This window comes from Homo sapiens, chromosome 6, assembly GCF_000001405.40.
Source record: "Homo sapiens chromosome 6, GRCh38.p14 Primary Assembly".
Taxonomy (NCBI): domain Eukaryota; kingdom Metazoa; phylum Chordata; class Mammalia; order Primates; family Hominidae; genus Homo; species Homo sapiens.
The window spans coordinates 166,259,914-166,277,371 of NC_000006.12; the positions used below are offsets into that span (position 1 = coordinate 166,259,914).

A 17,458-nucleotide genomic window follows, 5' to 3' on the forward strand; every position below is an offset into this window, starting at 1 on the left:
TGCTTACAACAGTGCCTGCCCCATAGCAAGTGCTGTATGCACACTGGCTATTGTGACGTTTGTATCCTAATACAAATGAAGATTGACCATGCTAAGGATGCGAACATTTGCTGAATGAGCTATAATTTGATATTCTGTCCTAAACATTCAATTATATTTGCTTTTCTTAAAAAAAAAGAAAGGTGTGATTGTGTGTGTGTGTGTTTACTATAAGCCACATCAAATTCTTTCAAGCAATAGGTATAAATGAAATAAGCAGCAGCAATTTATAAGGTCCCTTTCTACTCTAGAAATCTAAAAGTAAAACTTCAGCAAACCTAAAGTTTAGGGCAATGAGACAGGCTGGATGGTCGGGTTGCCTGGTACCAAGGTCTGAATGTGCCCCTCAGAATTCATGAATTAGAAACTTAGTTGCCCGTGCAAAAGTGTTGGGAGGTAGGGCCTCGTGGGAGGTGTTTAGGTTATGAGAGCTGTGCCCTCATGATGGTTCAATGCCCCTATAAAAAGGGCCAGTGGGAGTGGGTGTTCTCTCTTGCTCTCTCTCTCTCTCTCCTGCTTTTCTGCCATGTGAGGACATGGCGTTCCTCCCCTCTGGAGGATGCGGCATCTAAGGTGTCATATTGGAAGCAGTGAGGCTAGGCCTGAGCTGCCAGGGCCTTGATCAGGCCCCAGAACTGTGAGAAATAAATACCTGGCCTTTGTAAGTTACTCAGTCTCAGGTGTTCTCTTATAGCAGCACAAACTGGACTAAGACATGTGGGTAGCAGGATTTAAAAATACATTTTAAAACATTTTTTTGTTTGACAGTTTCAAAAATGTATCCTACTTCCCTCCTTCTCTGACTTGTTTGTTTTTACCATGTATTATTATAGTTGATTTTACACAAATACACTTTTAGACTAACTCATTAACTCTGAACATCACTATGTCCCCCTCTATTTCTAAAAATAACAAAAGTGATTTCTATTTATTGAGCACCTACCGAGTGCCAGGCTCCATGCTGGGTTCTATTTTCTTTAGAACATCTATTTCATTATTACTTAACAATTATCTGCTTTACACATTATAAGCCAAACTCTGTTCTATACTCCATGTGGGTTTAACTGAATATATAGTCACCACAGCCTTGCAAAGTAGATATTTAATTACGCAGGTGAACAAACTGAGGCTTGTTAAAAAACTAGAACAAGGTCTCACTGTGATTCCAACCAGACTTGTCTTACCATTATTACAAATGATGCTTTCTCTCATGATAGACATCTATAATTTACCTAGTTGGAATTGCTGCACACATTTTGTTTGGTGTTTTGATTTTTTAATTATATTGTGTATATATTTCCATGTAGCACATAATAATTTACATAATTATGGTAACTTTGTTACACCCAATTACCTACTTCAATTCAGCTAATTTCCTCTTGGTAAACATTGATTGAGTGTTTATGTGCCAGATTCTATCAAATGCCAAGGAAATAAAAATAACTGAGATAAGGTTCCTAACCCCAAACTTTCATCTAGCCAGGAGACATACATTATGTGAAAAGATAAGCATAACGCAGTGTGATACATGCATTTCTCAATGGTTGCACATTTGAGTTATTGCTAACTTGGCTGTTATCAATAGCGTTAGTACTGCCAGGCACGGTGGTTCACGCCTGTAATCCCAGCACTTTGGGAGGACGAAGCGGGCTGATCACGAGATCAGGAGATCGAGACCATCCTGGCTAACATGGTGAAACCCCGTCTCTACTAAAAATACAAAAAAAATTAGCCAGGCGTGGTGGCGGGCGCCTGTAGTCCCAGCTGTTCGGGGGGCTGAGGCAGGAGAACGGTGTGAACCCGGGAGGCAGAGCTTGCAGTGAGCTGAGATCACACCATTGAACTCCAGCCTGGGTGACAGAGCGAGACTCCATCTCAAAAAAAAAAAAAAAATAGCTTTAGTACAAATATTTTCACCATACCCCTGAATTATAGTTTTCAAAAAACACTAAGAAGCCAAAGCATAGGGACAATGGCCCTGCTTCCATTATGACAGCCAGACTGCTTTCCAGGATGCCTGCACCAAGCTCGTTTCTCAGTATCCAGTGCGTGGAAAGAGGATGGTCACACCTGCCCTTTACGTCACGAAGAAGAGGTTATGAGGCTTCACATAATCTATAAATATACGTGGTTACTGCTGATGTGTAAAGCGTAAGTATCCTTTGACTACTTGTTTAGCAAAGTGTGGATTATATGTTCATGCCTATACATTCATATCAATCCGTGTGCATTTTGGATGTAAACCTGTATCATCTTTTTACATTTATTGTTTTCAGATTTCATTGTCTCTTACAAAACAAAGTTCCTTTTCATTGTGTATAAAAGTTTTTAATAATGTTATTTTGTTAAGCTTAACTATGATGTCTCTGATTATATTATTTTATCTCCAATAAGCAAAAATGAACATCTCCACCGTTGAGATGAACGAATTTTTTCATTCAAAAAGCCCTGCTTTTCGCGATTGGCCTTGCTTGTGATTAGTGCATAGTGTGTGCAGAGTGTAAATGTGAGAGCGGGCCCTGATTCTTCAGCACTTCCTCTCCCACATTTCATTATTCCAGGCTTATGATATCTTATACTTTTAGAACTTTGGATTTCTTTCTGGAGTTGATTCCCATGCCCTGAGTGTAACATTTCCGTATAGATAATTATTATTGTATAATACATTGTTTTTTTTTTTTTTTTTGAGACGGAGTCTTGCTCTGTCACCCAGGCTGGAGTGCAGTGGCATGATCTCAGTTCACTGCAACCTCTGCCTCCTGGGTTCAAGTGATTCTTCTGCCTCAGCCTCCTAAGAAGCTGGGACTACAGGCGTACGCCACCATTCCCATCTAATTTTTGTGTTTTTACTAGAGATGGGGTTTCACCATATCAGCCAGGCTGGTCTCAAACTCCTGACCTCATGATCCACCTGCCTCGGCCTCCTAAAGTGCTGGGATTACAGGCGTGAGCCACCGCTCACGGCCTATTGTGTAATACATTCTAAACCTGTCGCCAGTTCCCTTTCATTACCTCATTTGACAGAGTAAGTGGTCAAACCTCTGAGGAGAGCTGAGGAAGGCCAAGGCCTGAGGTCCTCGAGGACCTGGGAGAGCTTCAGGTCTGCAGAACCAACCCAGGAACTGCCGGGCCGCTCCAGGGGCCCACTTCTACTGCCACGAGCATCTTAGGTTCTCTTGCTGACAGCCCCTGATGCCTGCCTGCCTGCCTGCGTGTGTTGCTGCCACCTCTGCATTTCTCCAGCCCTCTGTCTGTCTGGTGGCCTGGTCTAGTGGCCCCAGCTGTCTAGGTCCCCACTGCTGTGGCTGTGATCCTGCGTTGTGCAGGAGGCGCAGCTGCCATCCCCGCAGCCACAGCAAGCCTGCCAACTCAGGCTCAAGCAGAAGGGGAGCAGCGCCCCCATTCTTCCTGCTGGATGACACCCCAGCTCTTGTCTCTTCCTGGAATGGAGGTGGGAGGGCTTGGGGAAGATTCCACCATGATAGGACCCCATCTCCAAACTAAGGGGCAGCTCTTTCAGTTACCGTCCTCTACAAGAATTTGCTTTAAGTTCCAAGAAACAAAGGTGGAATGTATTTTAACACCATCACACATCGAAAGTGTTCTTTCCACTGCTGATGGCTCCATTCTTCAAGTCAAGGGCATATCTTTAGGGTGTTCTTGGGGGTATCGGGGTCCTGCTACCAGAGACCTCTTCACAGGTGTCCTCAGAAGTCCTGGGTACCCTCATCCCTCCTTATCTCAGAGACCTCTGAGGGGATGCAGATGAGGCCCCTGGTAAGCCTGCCCAGGGCCTGGCTAGATTTCCACCCCAGGGAAACCTGCTCTTGAGGACTCTGCAACATCCCAGTGACCACCAGCAGCCCATCTCTGTTTCACAGTGGTGACAATCTCCAGGCCCACACTAGCAAGCCTGGGTCTTCTCCCTCTCCCGTTGCCCTGACCTGAGACCCTTGCGGCTGACTGTTTCACTGCCTCACTCCCAGGTTTCAGTCACTACTTCTGATCTGCCATGTGCAAGGAAAACAGATATCCACGCTTGTTAGAACTGGGGAGAAAACTAGAGATTTTTAAGAAAAATCTATGACTATAATGACCATCATTTATAAACAACAACACTTTTAAAAATCAGATATTTGGTTGGTCAACTGTAAAGAAAATTAAAAAATGCCCCATAAAGTTTAGATGAATATTTATCCCACCTACAAGGAAAATGCATGAACGTATAGAAGTACTGTGACACAAAGTCCATTTGAGAGGCTAAAAGGCCAAAGTGTCCGGGGGCTGAAAACCTGCAGCCACCTGCCGGGTTCAAATGCCAGCTCTACCGCTTGACAGGCTACATGACTGTAACAAGTTACTTAACTTCTTTATACCTCAATTTTCATCATCTGCAAAATGGAGTTGATACTAATAATGCCTAGCTTACATGGTTTTTGTGAAGACTAAATTATCTGATCTGTATAAAGCATTTGGAGGCAGGCTGCCCACAGTAAATCCTATATAAGCGCTTGCTATTCTATTATTATCAAGATTTCAACAATTATGACTATTTAGTTCATGGGCTCTGTGACATCTATCTTGATTCTTAAGATCATTTTCCTTATTTCTTGTTATCTGTGAAGTCTTGAATAGCTGAGGTTACTGAGTAGTTCACTTCTATATAGGAGAGATACTATAAATGCTTCAGTAATGCACTCATGATGGAATGAAGACAGTTGACCATGTTCTTTGTTTTTGGTATAATTTTAAAAGATATATAGACACATATGCACATGTATACATACATATGCATACATCACATGCACTCATTTGTGCAAATAACCAATGGAGATTTAATGTCACTGTGAATTGCAAAACACACTCTACTGAGAGTATTAAAAAATAATGATGCTCACAAACTGAGATAGGTTGTCTTGATCGGACTCTGGTCACCCTGTTTAGGAAACAGTGTAATTGTACATGCTATGGTCTCCTCCATTGAGTTCAAGGACTCAGGAAATTGTATACTAGGTTTCCTGAGACAAAGCACCACTTTAATCAAATAATTAGTTATTTTGGTGTTTTAAAGCACAGCCCACAACAAACCATTATTTATTGTCCACCTAATGTATGCAAAGTAGCAAAACAAATAGATTTGCTATTAGTTTTTTAAAAAGTTAAATTATTTCTGGCGCCAGAACTAATTATTTAGTTAAAATCACTTTAGCATTGCTGCTATGTATATACTTTTATTAATTATCTATTTGATATAAATGTCTTCAAGTACGGTCATTAATGGAAAATGTTTGCTAAAACCAATAAATGATAGGATTTTGAAATCCATCAAAGTCTGCCAAATGCTAGCACTTTCACTTGTGTCTTGGTTCCTACTAAACAATTAACATTTATTATATTAAAATCCTTTAAGTTAACCATTTTATCTTGGCAGTTATCAACTCTGAGAGAGCGAATTTGTAGAGCCCTAATTCTGCAGCGAAGGCAAGTCTGTGATTTTGAAAATGGGGAAGATTGGAATCTGCCCTCTTCAGACTTAAAACAGGGGATCTTAATCAGGCTCCTCTTTCCTGGTGGATGGAGGTGGGGAAAGGCACGATTCTATAGACCAAGCCTGGCTGGATCTGTCGTCTTTCGTTCAGGCTTCAAAGTACTGGTCATGCCAAGTTTCATGTGGAAGGACGGTAGAGCCTGATAAACCTGCCCTTGGCCGTCCTCGGAGAGATTGACTAGGCCTGTGGTCAACGCTTTAAGTATCTTGTTCTGCACTGATCTCATCCTTTGGTCTAACCTAGAGATCTACAACTCAACAAATGTCATCATCGGTGTTCCCCGGATGAGAAAAATCAGTGGCTTACATGTTCATAGCTACTTGAACAGGAAAAAAAAAAAAAAAAAGGGCTTTGAGTTTTTCCTCCAAAATATTGTTACCCCTGAAACACATCTGTAGGCCTGGTTTTGAAACCCGTGGTAGCAGAGCCTACATGTTAGGGGCTTGAGGAGGACAGGGAGGTTGGGTGTTTCCACTCTGCATGTGAATCCTCTGAATTATACTTTTTTTACTCTGCTGTTTCAACAGTCCACTTGACATTAATGCCTACTAATTTGGGTAAATGTGGCTCTAGATCCTTTAAATGAAGAAAAAATCAAAAGCATGAAAAAGTGAAAACAAATTTAAATTTAGCAATTCAAGGTGCAATAAAACACCACCATATCCTTTAAAAAGGTAATTACATTGTAAGTCTCTGGTTAAAATGGAAACTGAGAGAAAGATTAATAAAATACATTATTGAGAAAGTAATCCATTTTTAAAGTTCAACTAATTCAACACAGCATACATTTACTAAAAGCCTAAACTATATTCCTGTCATAAGTATAATTAAGTAACTAATAAAATAAACCCAAAGCTCAATATTGTTTATATGGCTTGGAAGTAATTCCCAAGTACTTCTGAGCCCCAGGGGTAGGAGCCTTGTCCTGAGTAAGTCACTTCATTTGTCTAGGTGTTAATTCTTCTAACTGTAAAATGAAAATTATTTCCTCATGGAAAAATTCTTCTCTCTTCCTGTTTCCTTATAAGGCCCTTCAAATCCATTACCTTCTAATACTCCTTACATTCCTCCAGCATTAAATAAGGTGTTTAAACACAAGGTGAGTCATTTTCTTTTTTTTTTGGAAACGGAATTTTTTTGCTCTTGTCACCCAGGCTGGAGTGCAGTGGCATGATCTCGGCTCACTGCAACCTCTGCCTCCTAGGTTCAAGCGATTCTTCTGCCTCAGCCTCCCAAGTAGCTGGGATTACAGGCACGTGTCACCATGCCTGGCTAATTTTGTATTTTTAGTAGAGACAGGGTTTCACTATGTTGGACAGGCTGGTCTCGAACTCCTAACTCAGGTGATCCACTCAACTCGGCTTCCCAAAGTGCTGGGATTACAGGCGTGAGCCACCGCGCCCAGCCAGGTGAGTCATTTTCTAACTTGAAAATTCATTCTAATTATATTTATTGTCAACATAACTATATAAAATCTGTCCAATTCCTCAAAAGTCAATTTCAACAATGCGTTTGAAGGCAGATGCTTTCTCTGCCCATCACTGACTAAATTCCTTAGCTTTTGGGCCTAGGAAAATGACATGAAAATCCGGCAAGATGACGTCATGCCACAAGAAGGTTAATGTAAGAGAACCTCTGGCAAGTGAGACCGCCAGGTGGGCCCCTCCAGGCCTCTCTGCTCTGAACTCAACACACACAGCTCCTAAAAAGAGGAAACCAAAGCCGGAGTGGGTGAAGAGCCAGAGGAAGCCTAACATTTAGGATATTAAAATTCAGATCTCCCTTCCACAGTCCAGTTAACATAGACTTTAAAGTGTGCATGATGGACTTAGAAGTGAATGCAGGTTGAGCCTTAGACTAGCATAAAGTAGGGAGCAACACCCCAAATTATGGTAAACACTGAAAATATAGTAAATGGGCCTTAGACTTTGACTCCATTAATTTATAATTAGCAAGAAAACAGATTCCTTTAATGATTCCAAGGTGTTAAAAAGTGTTACAAAAAATTATTTCTGAAGCATCTCATTCAGACAGACAGAAAACGGTGGAAAGGCATTAGGGGCCGGAATGGTGCCCACCCATCCTGGGCGCCAGGCACAGGGCGCATTCTCACAAACATCTCCCCTTTCCCTTGTTGGGAAGACACAGGGTTGGATGAAATGATTTCTAAAGTCTGTTTAATAATAAAATTGGTCACATTTTGCTATTTCCACATCTTTGGTCATGAGAAAAATGAAGTCACTATGTAAATGATAGCCTCTAAGATGTTCAATGAATCAGTCTCAGAGACAGAAAAGTTTTGTCAAAAAACCATAAAAACAATTTTGGTGCCCTGGAGGCATCAAAAATTAGTTACCACCAATAGTTGCGGGACATTATCAAACACTTCAAATCTTTTCATTAGAAATTGACATTTTTCCTATTTTTGCTCTTAGTAGGTACTAGTTAAAATTCTACGTTAATGATGAAATGCTATTTGGAGTAGAACATGTATTCTTTAATGCCTCTAAGTATTTTATTAGAGATCATTTTATAATTTCCTCATAGGAACATAAGTCAAAGTCTACTGCATTTAAATAATTACTTGCCTTACACACACCACAAAAGCATTAGTTGGACACTGGTATAAATTCCATACAAAATGCCAGTTCTTTGAAGCCATCTGAATCTCCTTGAGAATATTTCCTAAAAGCCTCACCTATGACTTTAAAACGGAAGATGGAGAAAATGCCAGTTGCAACCTCGCTGGCTCTCATTAAGGGGTCACTGTCAGAAATTGGTTGAGGAGAAGGAGAAGGAGGGGTAATTTCCCTTTAAAATGGAGAGGAGCTTCTTTTAGAAAGGAAATTCGCTGAGGAAGTTGTTTTAAAACAAATAAATGTTCAGGATGAAGCCAGCAAAAGGTGTGAAGGGGCCCGCTTTGATTTTCCAATTTGTGTATTTGGGCTCAGACAAGGACAACATTTTATGCACATATTAATCGAATGCAAATACACCTCCCGCGAGGACAGCGGTATTTGACACTGAGTATTGTCAACAGAAAGGTTTTTGGCGTATTTTTTAATCTCATCAAGGTGCCTATGGAAGGGGCAGTACCCGGGGAGGTGGGACGTCCCTGTGCCTGGGAATGGAGTCTGGGCTGGACTTCCAGATGGGTCCGGAGCAAGTGATTTACGGAATTATCTCCACATCAATGAGTTTTTGGAAAGCTGTAAACATCTCCTTCCAAGTCTTCAGGTGACTGTGTTTGTTTAGCCCCCTCCTCCTCTCCCCCAGGAGCTCTGGTTCTTCAACTTGAGTGGGCATCAATCACCTGGGGGGCTTGTGACAACAGTTTTCGAGGCCCCACCCCACCTGAGGCCACAGCTCTGTGGGGCCCAGGGATGTGCATTTCTCACAAGTCGCCGGGTGACGCTGGTCCAAGACCACACCTTGAGACCCGCTGCTCTAAACATCGGTTTTGATCCTCAGATGCTCTAAAACGTTGCTTGTTCCGAAAAAGGGGGACAGCAAACTAGAGCTTTTACCACACATTGGATAAAGAAGTTGTGCTCATTCAACACCAACAGGAAGCTTGTTTCCAAAGGCTTACCAAGCTGTGCAGGGCGAAACCTGTCATGAGGTGAGGGTGGGTGAAGGCTTGGAGGTGAAGGAAATCTATCTTTTCACGCCCCAGTGCTGGTTTCTTGTCTTTTTTGTAGGGAACGGCATTCAAACACAGACCCATGCAGTAAGCTGTGGACACACTTAGAGAAACCCGAGTTGATTTTTATTTATTCATCCATCGTTCTTTCACTCAAAATCATGTATTAAATGCCTCCTGTGTGCAGGTGCTGTTCTGGGCTTTTAGGAAATGTGGGTGAACAGTGGACTCCTTGGCCCTGGAGCTTCGGTAGGAGAAACAGTAAAGAGGTCTAAGATTTAGCTGCCATGGTCTGGAAGGAGGTGACCTGTGCGATGACAAAGCCAGGAAGGTGGGAGAGGGGTCCAGGAGTGGGCAGCATGGGGCAGCTGCGAAGGGGATGGGGGCTGGTGGCAGGTGAGCCCAGATGAGGTGGGCAGTGGGAGGGGCTCTTACCAGAAAGGGGTCCCGATCCGGACCCCAAGAGAGGGATTTTGGATCTTGCGCAAGAAAGAATCCAGGGCGAGTTCAGACAGTAAAGTGAAAGCAAGTTTATTAAAAAGGAAAGGAATAAAGAAGCGGCCACTCCATAGGAGAGCAACCCCGAGAGCAGCCTGTTGCTCATTTTTATGGTTATTTTTTGATGATATGCTAAACAAGGAGTGGATTATTCATGCTTCCCTTTTTCAGACCATAAACTGTCATGGCGCTGGTGGGAGTGTAGCATCGAGGACGACCAGAGCTCACTCTTATCGCCATCTTGGTTTTGGTGGGATTTGGGCTCTCCTCTACTGCAACCAGTTTTATCGGCAAGGTCTTTATGACCTGTGCCTTATACTGACCTCTTATCTCATCCCGTGACTTAGAATGTCTAACTTACTGGGAATGCAGTAGGTCTCACCCTTATTTTACCAAGCCCCTACTCAAGATGGAGTCGCTCTGGTTCAAATGCCTCTGACAGGGCCTCTGAGGGAAGAGTGCTCCCCAGGAAGGGCCCTCGAGGGCAGAGGCCCTGCCCTGGACCCTGACTCCATCCTCAGGAAGCAGCAAGGAGGTCGGAGGGGTGAGCAGGGAGGACAGGAGGATGGAGGAGGGACGGCCCAGACTGAGCCTGATGCTGTGCTGAGAGGAGACAGGTATGCACAGGTGGGCAGAGAGTGGCGATGGGGACCCGGACTTGTCCAGGTGGGAGGGGCTGTGGCCCGGACCAGGGGCTTCGGGGACAGGGATGAGAAGCAGGAGGATTCTGGACACAGTTCTGAGGAAGAGCTGTATTCCTCTTATTGGGATTCCATGGCCTTCATCCTTGTCTAGAGAGGTTGGTGCCGGCCGTGCCTCTGTGGGAGGGGTGTGGGCTGAACCCAGGCTCCTTAGTGAAGCATTGCCCTGGCCTGAGCTTCTGCCACAGTCTGACTGGAACAGCACTAGGCCATTTATCTGTTTTCACAGTAGATGTCCCTGACACTACCAGGTCGTGCTACATTTGTCAGTGGGTCGCCTTGACAGGCTCCTCGGCCATCTCCTTCCCTTCAGGTTACTTGTCTTTTGTGCCAGCAACCCACACCCCTCACCCACACAGTTTCTCCATTTCCCCTAAGTCAGTGGACACTTGGACCCCACCCCCCACCCCGAGACACTGGGTCAGGATGGGGCTCAGGACAGACACCAGTGCACCATCCATTGGTTGAGTACACACTTCAGCATGGCGTCTTTCATGCGGTCAGTGAGAAGCTCGTCATTGGGACCCCAACAAGGTTCAGCACATAGAGGGGGCTAAGTCCCCAATTCCCAGGGGCTGTCCTGAAATTCTCCATAGTCTGCCATTGAAAAGGAGACATGGGATGTCCCCCTTATGTGGCCAGGCTGCCTTTCAGCCACCAACCACCCAGCCGAGGTGGGGGATGGCCCGATCCTCATTACTGGTGCCACAGAGGTGCTGCCTCAGGGCAAGGTGGCCTGTGGTCGATGCCATTTCACTCATCTCAACCCAGCAGAGGACAATGCCCTCCATCTGTTCCCGTAGACAGAGAAGCCACCCCATGACCGACTCTCTGCCCTTCTGTCTGAACCCATTTCTCAGCTCCATCCATTCTACAGTAGTGTTGGCCCAAGCTGCCATCTTGCAGGCAGGGGCAAATCTTGGGGGCTGCTCCCTGCAGGTGCAGTTGGTCTGCCTTTATCTTGGTGGTGCCTGCTGGTGGCGCAGAGAGGAGAGGAACACCTATGGGCTCATCTCAGTCTTCACTCTCCTCCATGCTAGAGCCCTCCATAGAATCCCGGAACTTAGGGCTTCAGGACGATTTAGTAATAATAGCCCTGACCAGTTGACGTGGTGGCCAGTGACTATTCCAATGGGCATGCAACAAGCCAGGGTGTCTGTTTTGTCACCCTGTGCCAGCAGGCAGAGCAGTAAGGTCTCCAGGATCTCAGCCCCAGCAAGTCTCACCCGTCTTTCTAGTCATAGTGGCCCTGTAGCTGAGGAACCCACCTGCGCTGTGCTGACCTCAGTGGCCGCTGACCTCAGGGGCCATGGCTGGGGGCCCTGACTTTCACTTAGTCGGATCTACACCCTGCAGCCGCTCTTCCAGACCCTCTGGCGTTTTAGGGGCATCTCCCTACTCAGGCATGGGCCCCATCCATCAAGGATAGCAGCTACTGGCCCCACATTGGTGTGGAGGGCCCACCTGGGATTGCCCCACAGATCTCCACCCCGCTTCGGTGCATCCCATGGGCTCAGCAGGCACGGGGCTTCTTCCCACCTCCTGCCTAGCCCCCGCATCACTGTGCTGAGCTCCTGTGGGCTCCAACAGGGGTGGTGCCACGTCCAAGAGGCCCACAGGAGACCTGGAGCCAGCATGGGAGACACATGCAGTGGTGGCTGCCGGACGGGAAAACCGCTACTGTTTGTAAAGAACGTGCTGTTTACACAGCATTTTCCCTTTGCAGCCTCCAGCTAGCAGCCTCCATCTGACCCAAAACAAAGGGCCTTGATCCCCTGGTACAGCCTGCGCTCCAAGGGCTGGGCCAGGGGTTCAGATTCCTTCATGGATGAAGAGTGGATCTCCAGGTTGGCCACTCCTGGATTCCTTAGCTGGGGACTCTGAACACACGCTCTTTTTAGACCACCGGGTGGGTCTCAGGGCACACTTCCGTTACAGCTGCCAGGTGCATCTGCCACACGCAAGGATGCCCAGTGTGTCTGCCAAGACTCCACAGAGCCAAATACTGAGAAAACCACGTCACCTTCAGTGGGAGGGTCTGCACAGAAGATGGCAAGGGCGATGGGTGCAGGGATGGGGAAAGAACTTTGGCCAAAACTCAATCTGGGCCGGGCGCAGTGGCTCTCGCCTGTAATCCCAGCATTTTGGGAGGCCGAGGTGGACGGATCACCTCAGGTCAGGAGTTCAAGACCAGCCTGGCCAACATGGTGAAAACCCCGTCTCTACTAAAAATACAAAAAAATTAGCCAGGTGTGGTGGCGGGCACCTGTAATCCCAGCTACTCGGGAGGCTGCGGCAGGACAATCGCTTGGACCCGGGAGGCAGAGGTTGCAGTGAGCTGAGATCATGCCACTGCACTCCAGCCTGGGGGACAGAGGAAGACTCTGTTTCAAAAAAAAAAAAAAAGAAAAACAACACACAAAACAACAACAACAAAACTCAATCTGCTGTAGGGTTCTTGTTCCTTTTAGTGAGAATAACACTAGTGATCAAATCTGAGTGTGAGAATGGGTGCTCAGTGCTACTGGGTGTCAGAGCTTCTAGGTTCTTTCAGTAGATATATTTCAAGTTAGAAAATATATCTTACAAATAAAGCATGAGTTCATATTAATATTTTCAGCGCAAACATAACACTGTAAAATTTTGCATGGACTTTTATTTTGTACTTGTATTCTTTTCTCACACTAAAAACCTTGGTTTACAAGAGCATTCAAAATTACTTATTTTATCTTATACATAAAATAATTTCAAAACAATAATTCTAATATTATTACTGACAAATTGCTAAATTCAGTTTAAGATTTTTAAATTTCTTTTGTACTTACACTATATTTCACTAAGCATGTAAATAAAGTAAATAAAAATACTGTGTTTTAAAGACCAAGAAATGGTTGTTTTCTGTATGTGGTTACGTTACCAATTTGATATACAATTAGGTTCACACATTACAGTTTTCAATTGTATAAACCGTTTTCTGTATGATTTAATTGAACGGTACAAAAATCAAAGAGGATTAGAGGGTTAATGATTGAACTGTCACTTTCATGCCATCATTTTCCCCCTAGGGTTCGCTGTTTGTAACCATCTTTGTTAGTTTCTGGTTTATCTTTAAAAAAAAAAAAAAAATATATATATATATATATATATATAGAGAGAGAGAGAGAGAGAGAGAGAGAGAGAGAGAGAGGCAGGGTCTTGCTTTGTGGCCCAGGCTGGAGTGCAGTGGTATAATTATGGCTCACTGCAGGCTCAACTTCCCAGACTCAAGGGATCCTCCCGCCTTGGCCTTCCAAAGTGCTGGGAATACAGGTGTAAGCCACTGCGCCTGGCCTCGGCTTTATCCTTCTTTTTGCTAATATATACACACATATTCTTATTTCCCCACATATATGACACAAGACGCGGCCATCTATTTCTTCTGTTCTGCCCCTTGATTTTTCCCTCGCGGATGTGATATCCCGCAGATCTTGACCTATCAGTCCACAGAGATCTTCCTCTTCTTGTGGCTTCATAGTCAGCCCACTACTCGTGGACATTTTGGTTGTTTCGATCTTGTGTTATCACAAATAATGCTGTAATTAACAACACTGTGCCCAGATCGCTCTGTGCTTATGCCAGTATAAGGTTTAGATAGATTTCTAGCAGATAGGGTTGCTAGATTGAAGGGCAAATGTAGCTGTCATTTTGTTTCTATTGCTTTTAAAAATGAAATCATGTTTTTAATCCAAAGTCAATCTTCACCCATGTCAGCATGCTCTCCTGTGTTAGATGAAATAATCTCTCACACCTGTTTGGGACTGTGGATTAGGTCTTCTTTTTTCTGCTGTCTTAAAAAGTAAACTTGTTATATATGGTATATTTATTCTGAAATTTCAGATGGATTCCCCTATTCTATACTACTGAATCTTTTCTCGTGTCTGGTCATGTTTTTGCTGTCTTCTCATTCACGTGTGTGTGTCTGTGTGTGCACTCATGTGCCTGTGTCTTTGTGCATGCTCTTGTGTGTCTGTGTGTGCACGTGTGTAATGTGTGTCTCTGTGTGTGCTCATGTGTGCCTGTGTTTTTGTGTATGCTCATGTGTGTCTGTATACGTGCATGTCTTTGTGCATGCTCCCAAATATTTGTGTGTACTTGTCTGCTTGTGTGTGTATGTACATGTTTGTATATTGGGGGGGCAGAGGAACAAGTGTGTGGCATTGAGCTGTGTCAGGGGCCAATATGGTTTCCAATATTGACATATTGGTTTTTTATATTTCTTAGAAATTTCTGGATCTCCCATTAGCATCTTTTAATCTGTGAACACAATTCAGGGGAAATGGTTTACCCAAGCTGTATATTTGGGGCTTCAGGCAGCAGTGAGGTACGGAAAATAAGGGAAGCGTGAACAGTGCTGCCCAGGGTCTCAGAGGTTCAGCTGCTTCAGGTGAGGACCAGGTGATGTCATCACCAGCTCCCCCTGGATGTGCGATGTGCTCACCTGTAAGGGCGGCTGACGGGTCCGACATCATGGTCACGGTCTCTGTCACCTGTTGAGTGTGCTGAGGGCAGGCCCAGCCCTGAGCATTTCACACAAACAGACCCCTTAACCTCAAGGCCACCCCAAGGCATGGGTGCCTCAGCCTGACTCACAGATGAGCAAACCTCAGCCCCAAGAGAGGAAGCCCCCGGCCCAGGCCCCGGCCCTCCACATGTGGTCACAGCCCCCGGCCCCACTGGGCCCTTCACTTGTGACACCCACGCCTCCCTGGCCAGGCTGCTGCCACTTGCTTGGCAGGGGCTGCTCATGCCTCCAGTGTTCTCACAGAACTGGCTGGTTCTGGCCACCAGCCAGGCTGCTGACCCCGAAAATGGAAAAAGCTTTGGGGTGATCCCAAACTCCCTCCACCGAACCCATGAGCCTGCCTGCACCTCATCTGTCCTGTTGGCTGGGGCTGGGGAATTGGGGGTGGTCGTGAAGGGTGGGAAAGAGGGTCTTCCTTCCCCAGCGTCCTGTTGGCTGAGGGGGGTGTTGTGGGATGTGGAGGAGGGGCTCTTCCTCCTCCAGGGTCCTGTTGGCTGAGGAGGGGTTTGAGGGAGGAGAGGGTCTTCCTCCCCAAGGATCCTGTTGTCTGGGGTGGGAGGGGGGCTCGCGAGGGGGTGGGGGAGAGGGTCTTCCTTCCCCTGAGGGAATGGGGGATCTGGGGGGAGGTATGAGGGGTGGGGGAGAGGGTTTTCTTCCCCAAGGGTCCTGTTGGCTGGGGAGGGTGGGTATTAAGGGGCTGAGGAGAGGGTCTTCCTCCCATGGAATCCTGGCCTCAAAAGGGTCTTTCTTCTCTGGATATCAAGTTTCTCGGTTTTAAAACTCAAAGGATGAATCTAGGGGATCACCAAGGATTTACACAGCCTGGGGTATCTCTGTTCGTTCGTGCTGGTTACCCAGGGCAGGCACCTGGGGCCCAGCATATGTTTTGGGGGTAAGCGCTTCTTGGGTGCAGAGGCGCCGCCTGCCGCCCGCCGCCCGCGCCGCTTCCGCTCTCCGGCTCTAGAGGGCGCCCTAGCACAAGGAGCCGCCTCGCCCGGGCTGCTGGTGCAGGTTTCAACGCTCGTGCTCTCTCCCTGGGACCTTGGATGACAAAAAGCTGCGTGAATTTTTCACATGCATTCATGTGAAAGAAAACTGACTTTTAAAAAGTGTTATTAGAATTTGCAACTTTATGTTCTCAAAGTTTTAATTTTGCCAGAACTACAGACTTTCAGTATAAATGTACAGTGATATTTCCTGCCACCAACAATGGCTCTGTTGTCCAATGAACCGAGGACATCAAATACAGAAACACCAAAGACGCCACAAATTCAATTTGTTAGCAATCACACGAACAGTTGCTACCTGTCCCAGCAGGATCTGCTGCAGTGCCTTTTCTGTCTTCATCAGCAGGAAAACTCTTCTCGCTGGGCTTCTTTCCGTATGCCTTTTTGTATGACCTTTCAAGATTTCTGACAGCCTAAGTCACACACACACACACACACACACACACACACACACGTGTATCATATTTTAGATCAGGATAATTTTTACAGAGAAAGATTTTTTTTTTAACCGAGACAGAGTCTCGCTCTGTCGCCCAGGCTGGAGTGCAGTAGTGTGATCTCGGCTCACTTCAGCCTCCACCTCCCAGGTTCAAGCGATTCTCCTGTCTCAGCCTCTCAAGTAGCTGGACTACAGGCATGCACCACTGCGCCCTAATTTTTGTATTTTTAGTAGACATGGGGTTTCACCATGTTGGCCAACTGGTCTCGAACTCCTGACCTCAGGTGATCTACCTGCCTCAGCCTCCCAAAGTGCTGGGATTACAGGCGTGCATCACCACGCCCAGCGTGGTGATTTTTTTTTTTAATACTGTGTTTCCCCATGCATTTAACAAATTGTGGTTCCCTATGACAGTGGCTAGGGGTGAAGTCATGGAGCTCCGTGTGTTTGTGTGCCCATACCCACTCCCAGACAAGAGCATGGACGAGCTGATTGTAAAAACATGCCTTTGCCAAAGCGCAGTGCCATAGGACATCAAGGCCTCTGGGCTGCATCGCAGAAAAAATGTGCCACAAACTGGCCACTCTTCCCCATGCTCACTGAGGACACAGAATAGGAACAATTACTTACCGAGAAGAGAAAGGCTTTCATGAGAAAGAGAGAAATGAAGAAGCAGGCAAGATCATCCAAAGTCCATACCAGTGCTGCTGAAAAGGAAATTGTCTTTCCAAGCACAGCGACACCGCGAAACTCAACAAAGTGACGGGCTCAACGCAGTGGCAGCCTCTGCCAGGGCTCTGGGCCACCGGAATTCCCTGCCTCCTTCGGCTTGGCCACCACGAGCTCCTCCCCAGGGCTCTGTTCTGTCCTTGGCTTTCCTTTCTCAAGCAGTGCTCTGGATTTCCGTAGCCTGGCAACGAGGTTAGGGGGTGGTGGTTGAGGGAAAGAAGCCCTGAGCTGGTGGTTTGTCAAAGGCACTTGGAAACCCAGCCAAAGGAGTCCTGGCTGGGAGTTACGGAAA

The 17,458-nt window shown here is 45.9% G+C and overlaps 1 long non-coding RNA gene across 1 annotated transcript, besides 2 other annotated features; it reads right to left on the reverse strand.

Moving 5' to 3' along the window:
* Nucleotides 12,130–12,635: an enhancer, noted in NCBI's record as "H3K4me1 hESC enhancer chr6:166685531-166686036 (GRCh37/hg19 assembly coordinates)". NCBI's record gives its function as "activates a minimal SCP1, AML or CMV promoter by ChIP-STARR-seq in naive H9 embryonic stem cells {active_cell/tissue: H9 hESC(naive)}" and the evidence as "EXISTENCE:reporter gene assay evidence [ECO:0000049][PMID:30033119]".
* Nucleotides 15,218–15,717: an enhancer, noted in NCBI's record as "H3K4me1 hESC enhancer chr6:166688619-166689118 (GRCh37/hg19 assembly coordinates)". NCBI's record gives its function as "activates a minimal SCP1, AML or CMV promoter by ChIP-STARR-seq in naive H9 embryonic stem cells {active_cell/tissue: H9 hESC(naive)}" and the evidence as "EXISTENCE:reporter gene assay evidence [ECO:0000049][PMID:30033119]".
* On the reverse strand, nt 15,964–17,198 carry LOC105378118 (uncharacterized). The gene is made up of 3 exons (XR_943242.3): nt 17,068–17,198; nt 16,297–16,411; nt 15,964–16,032 (listed from the first exon to the last, which is right to left on the reverse strand). It is a non-coding gene; the product is annotated as an uncharacterized LOC105378118 (long non-coding RNA).
* Nucleotides 17,199–17,458: the final 260 nt, after the last annotated feature.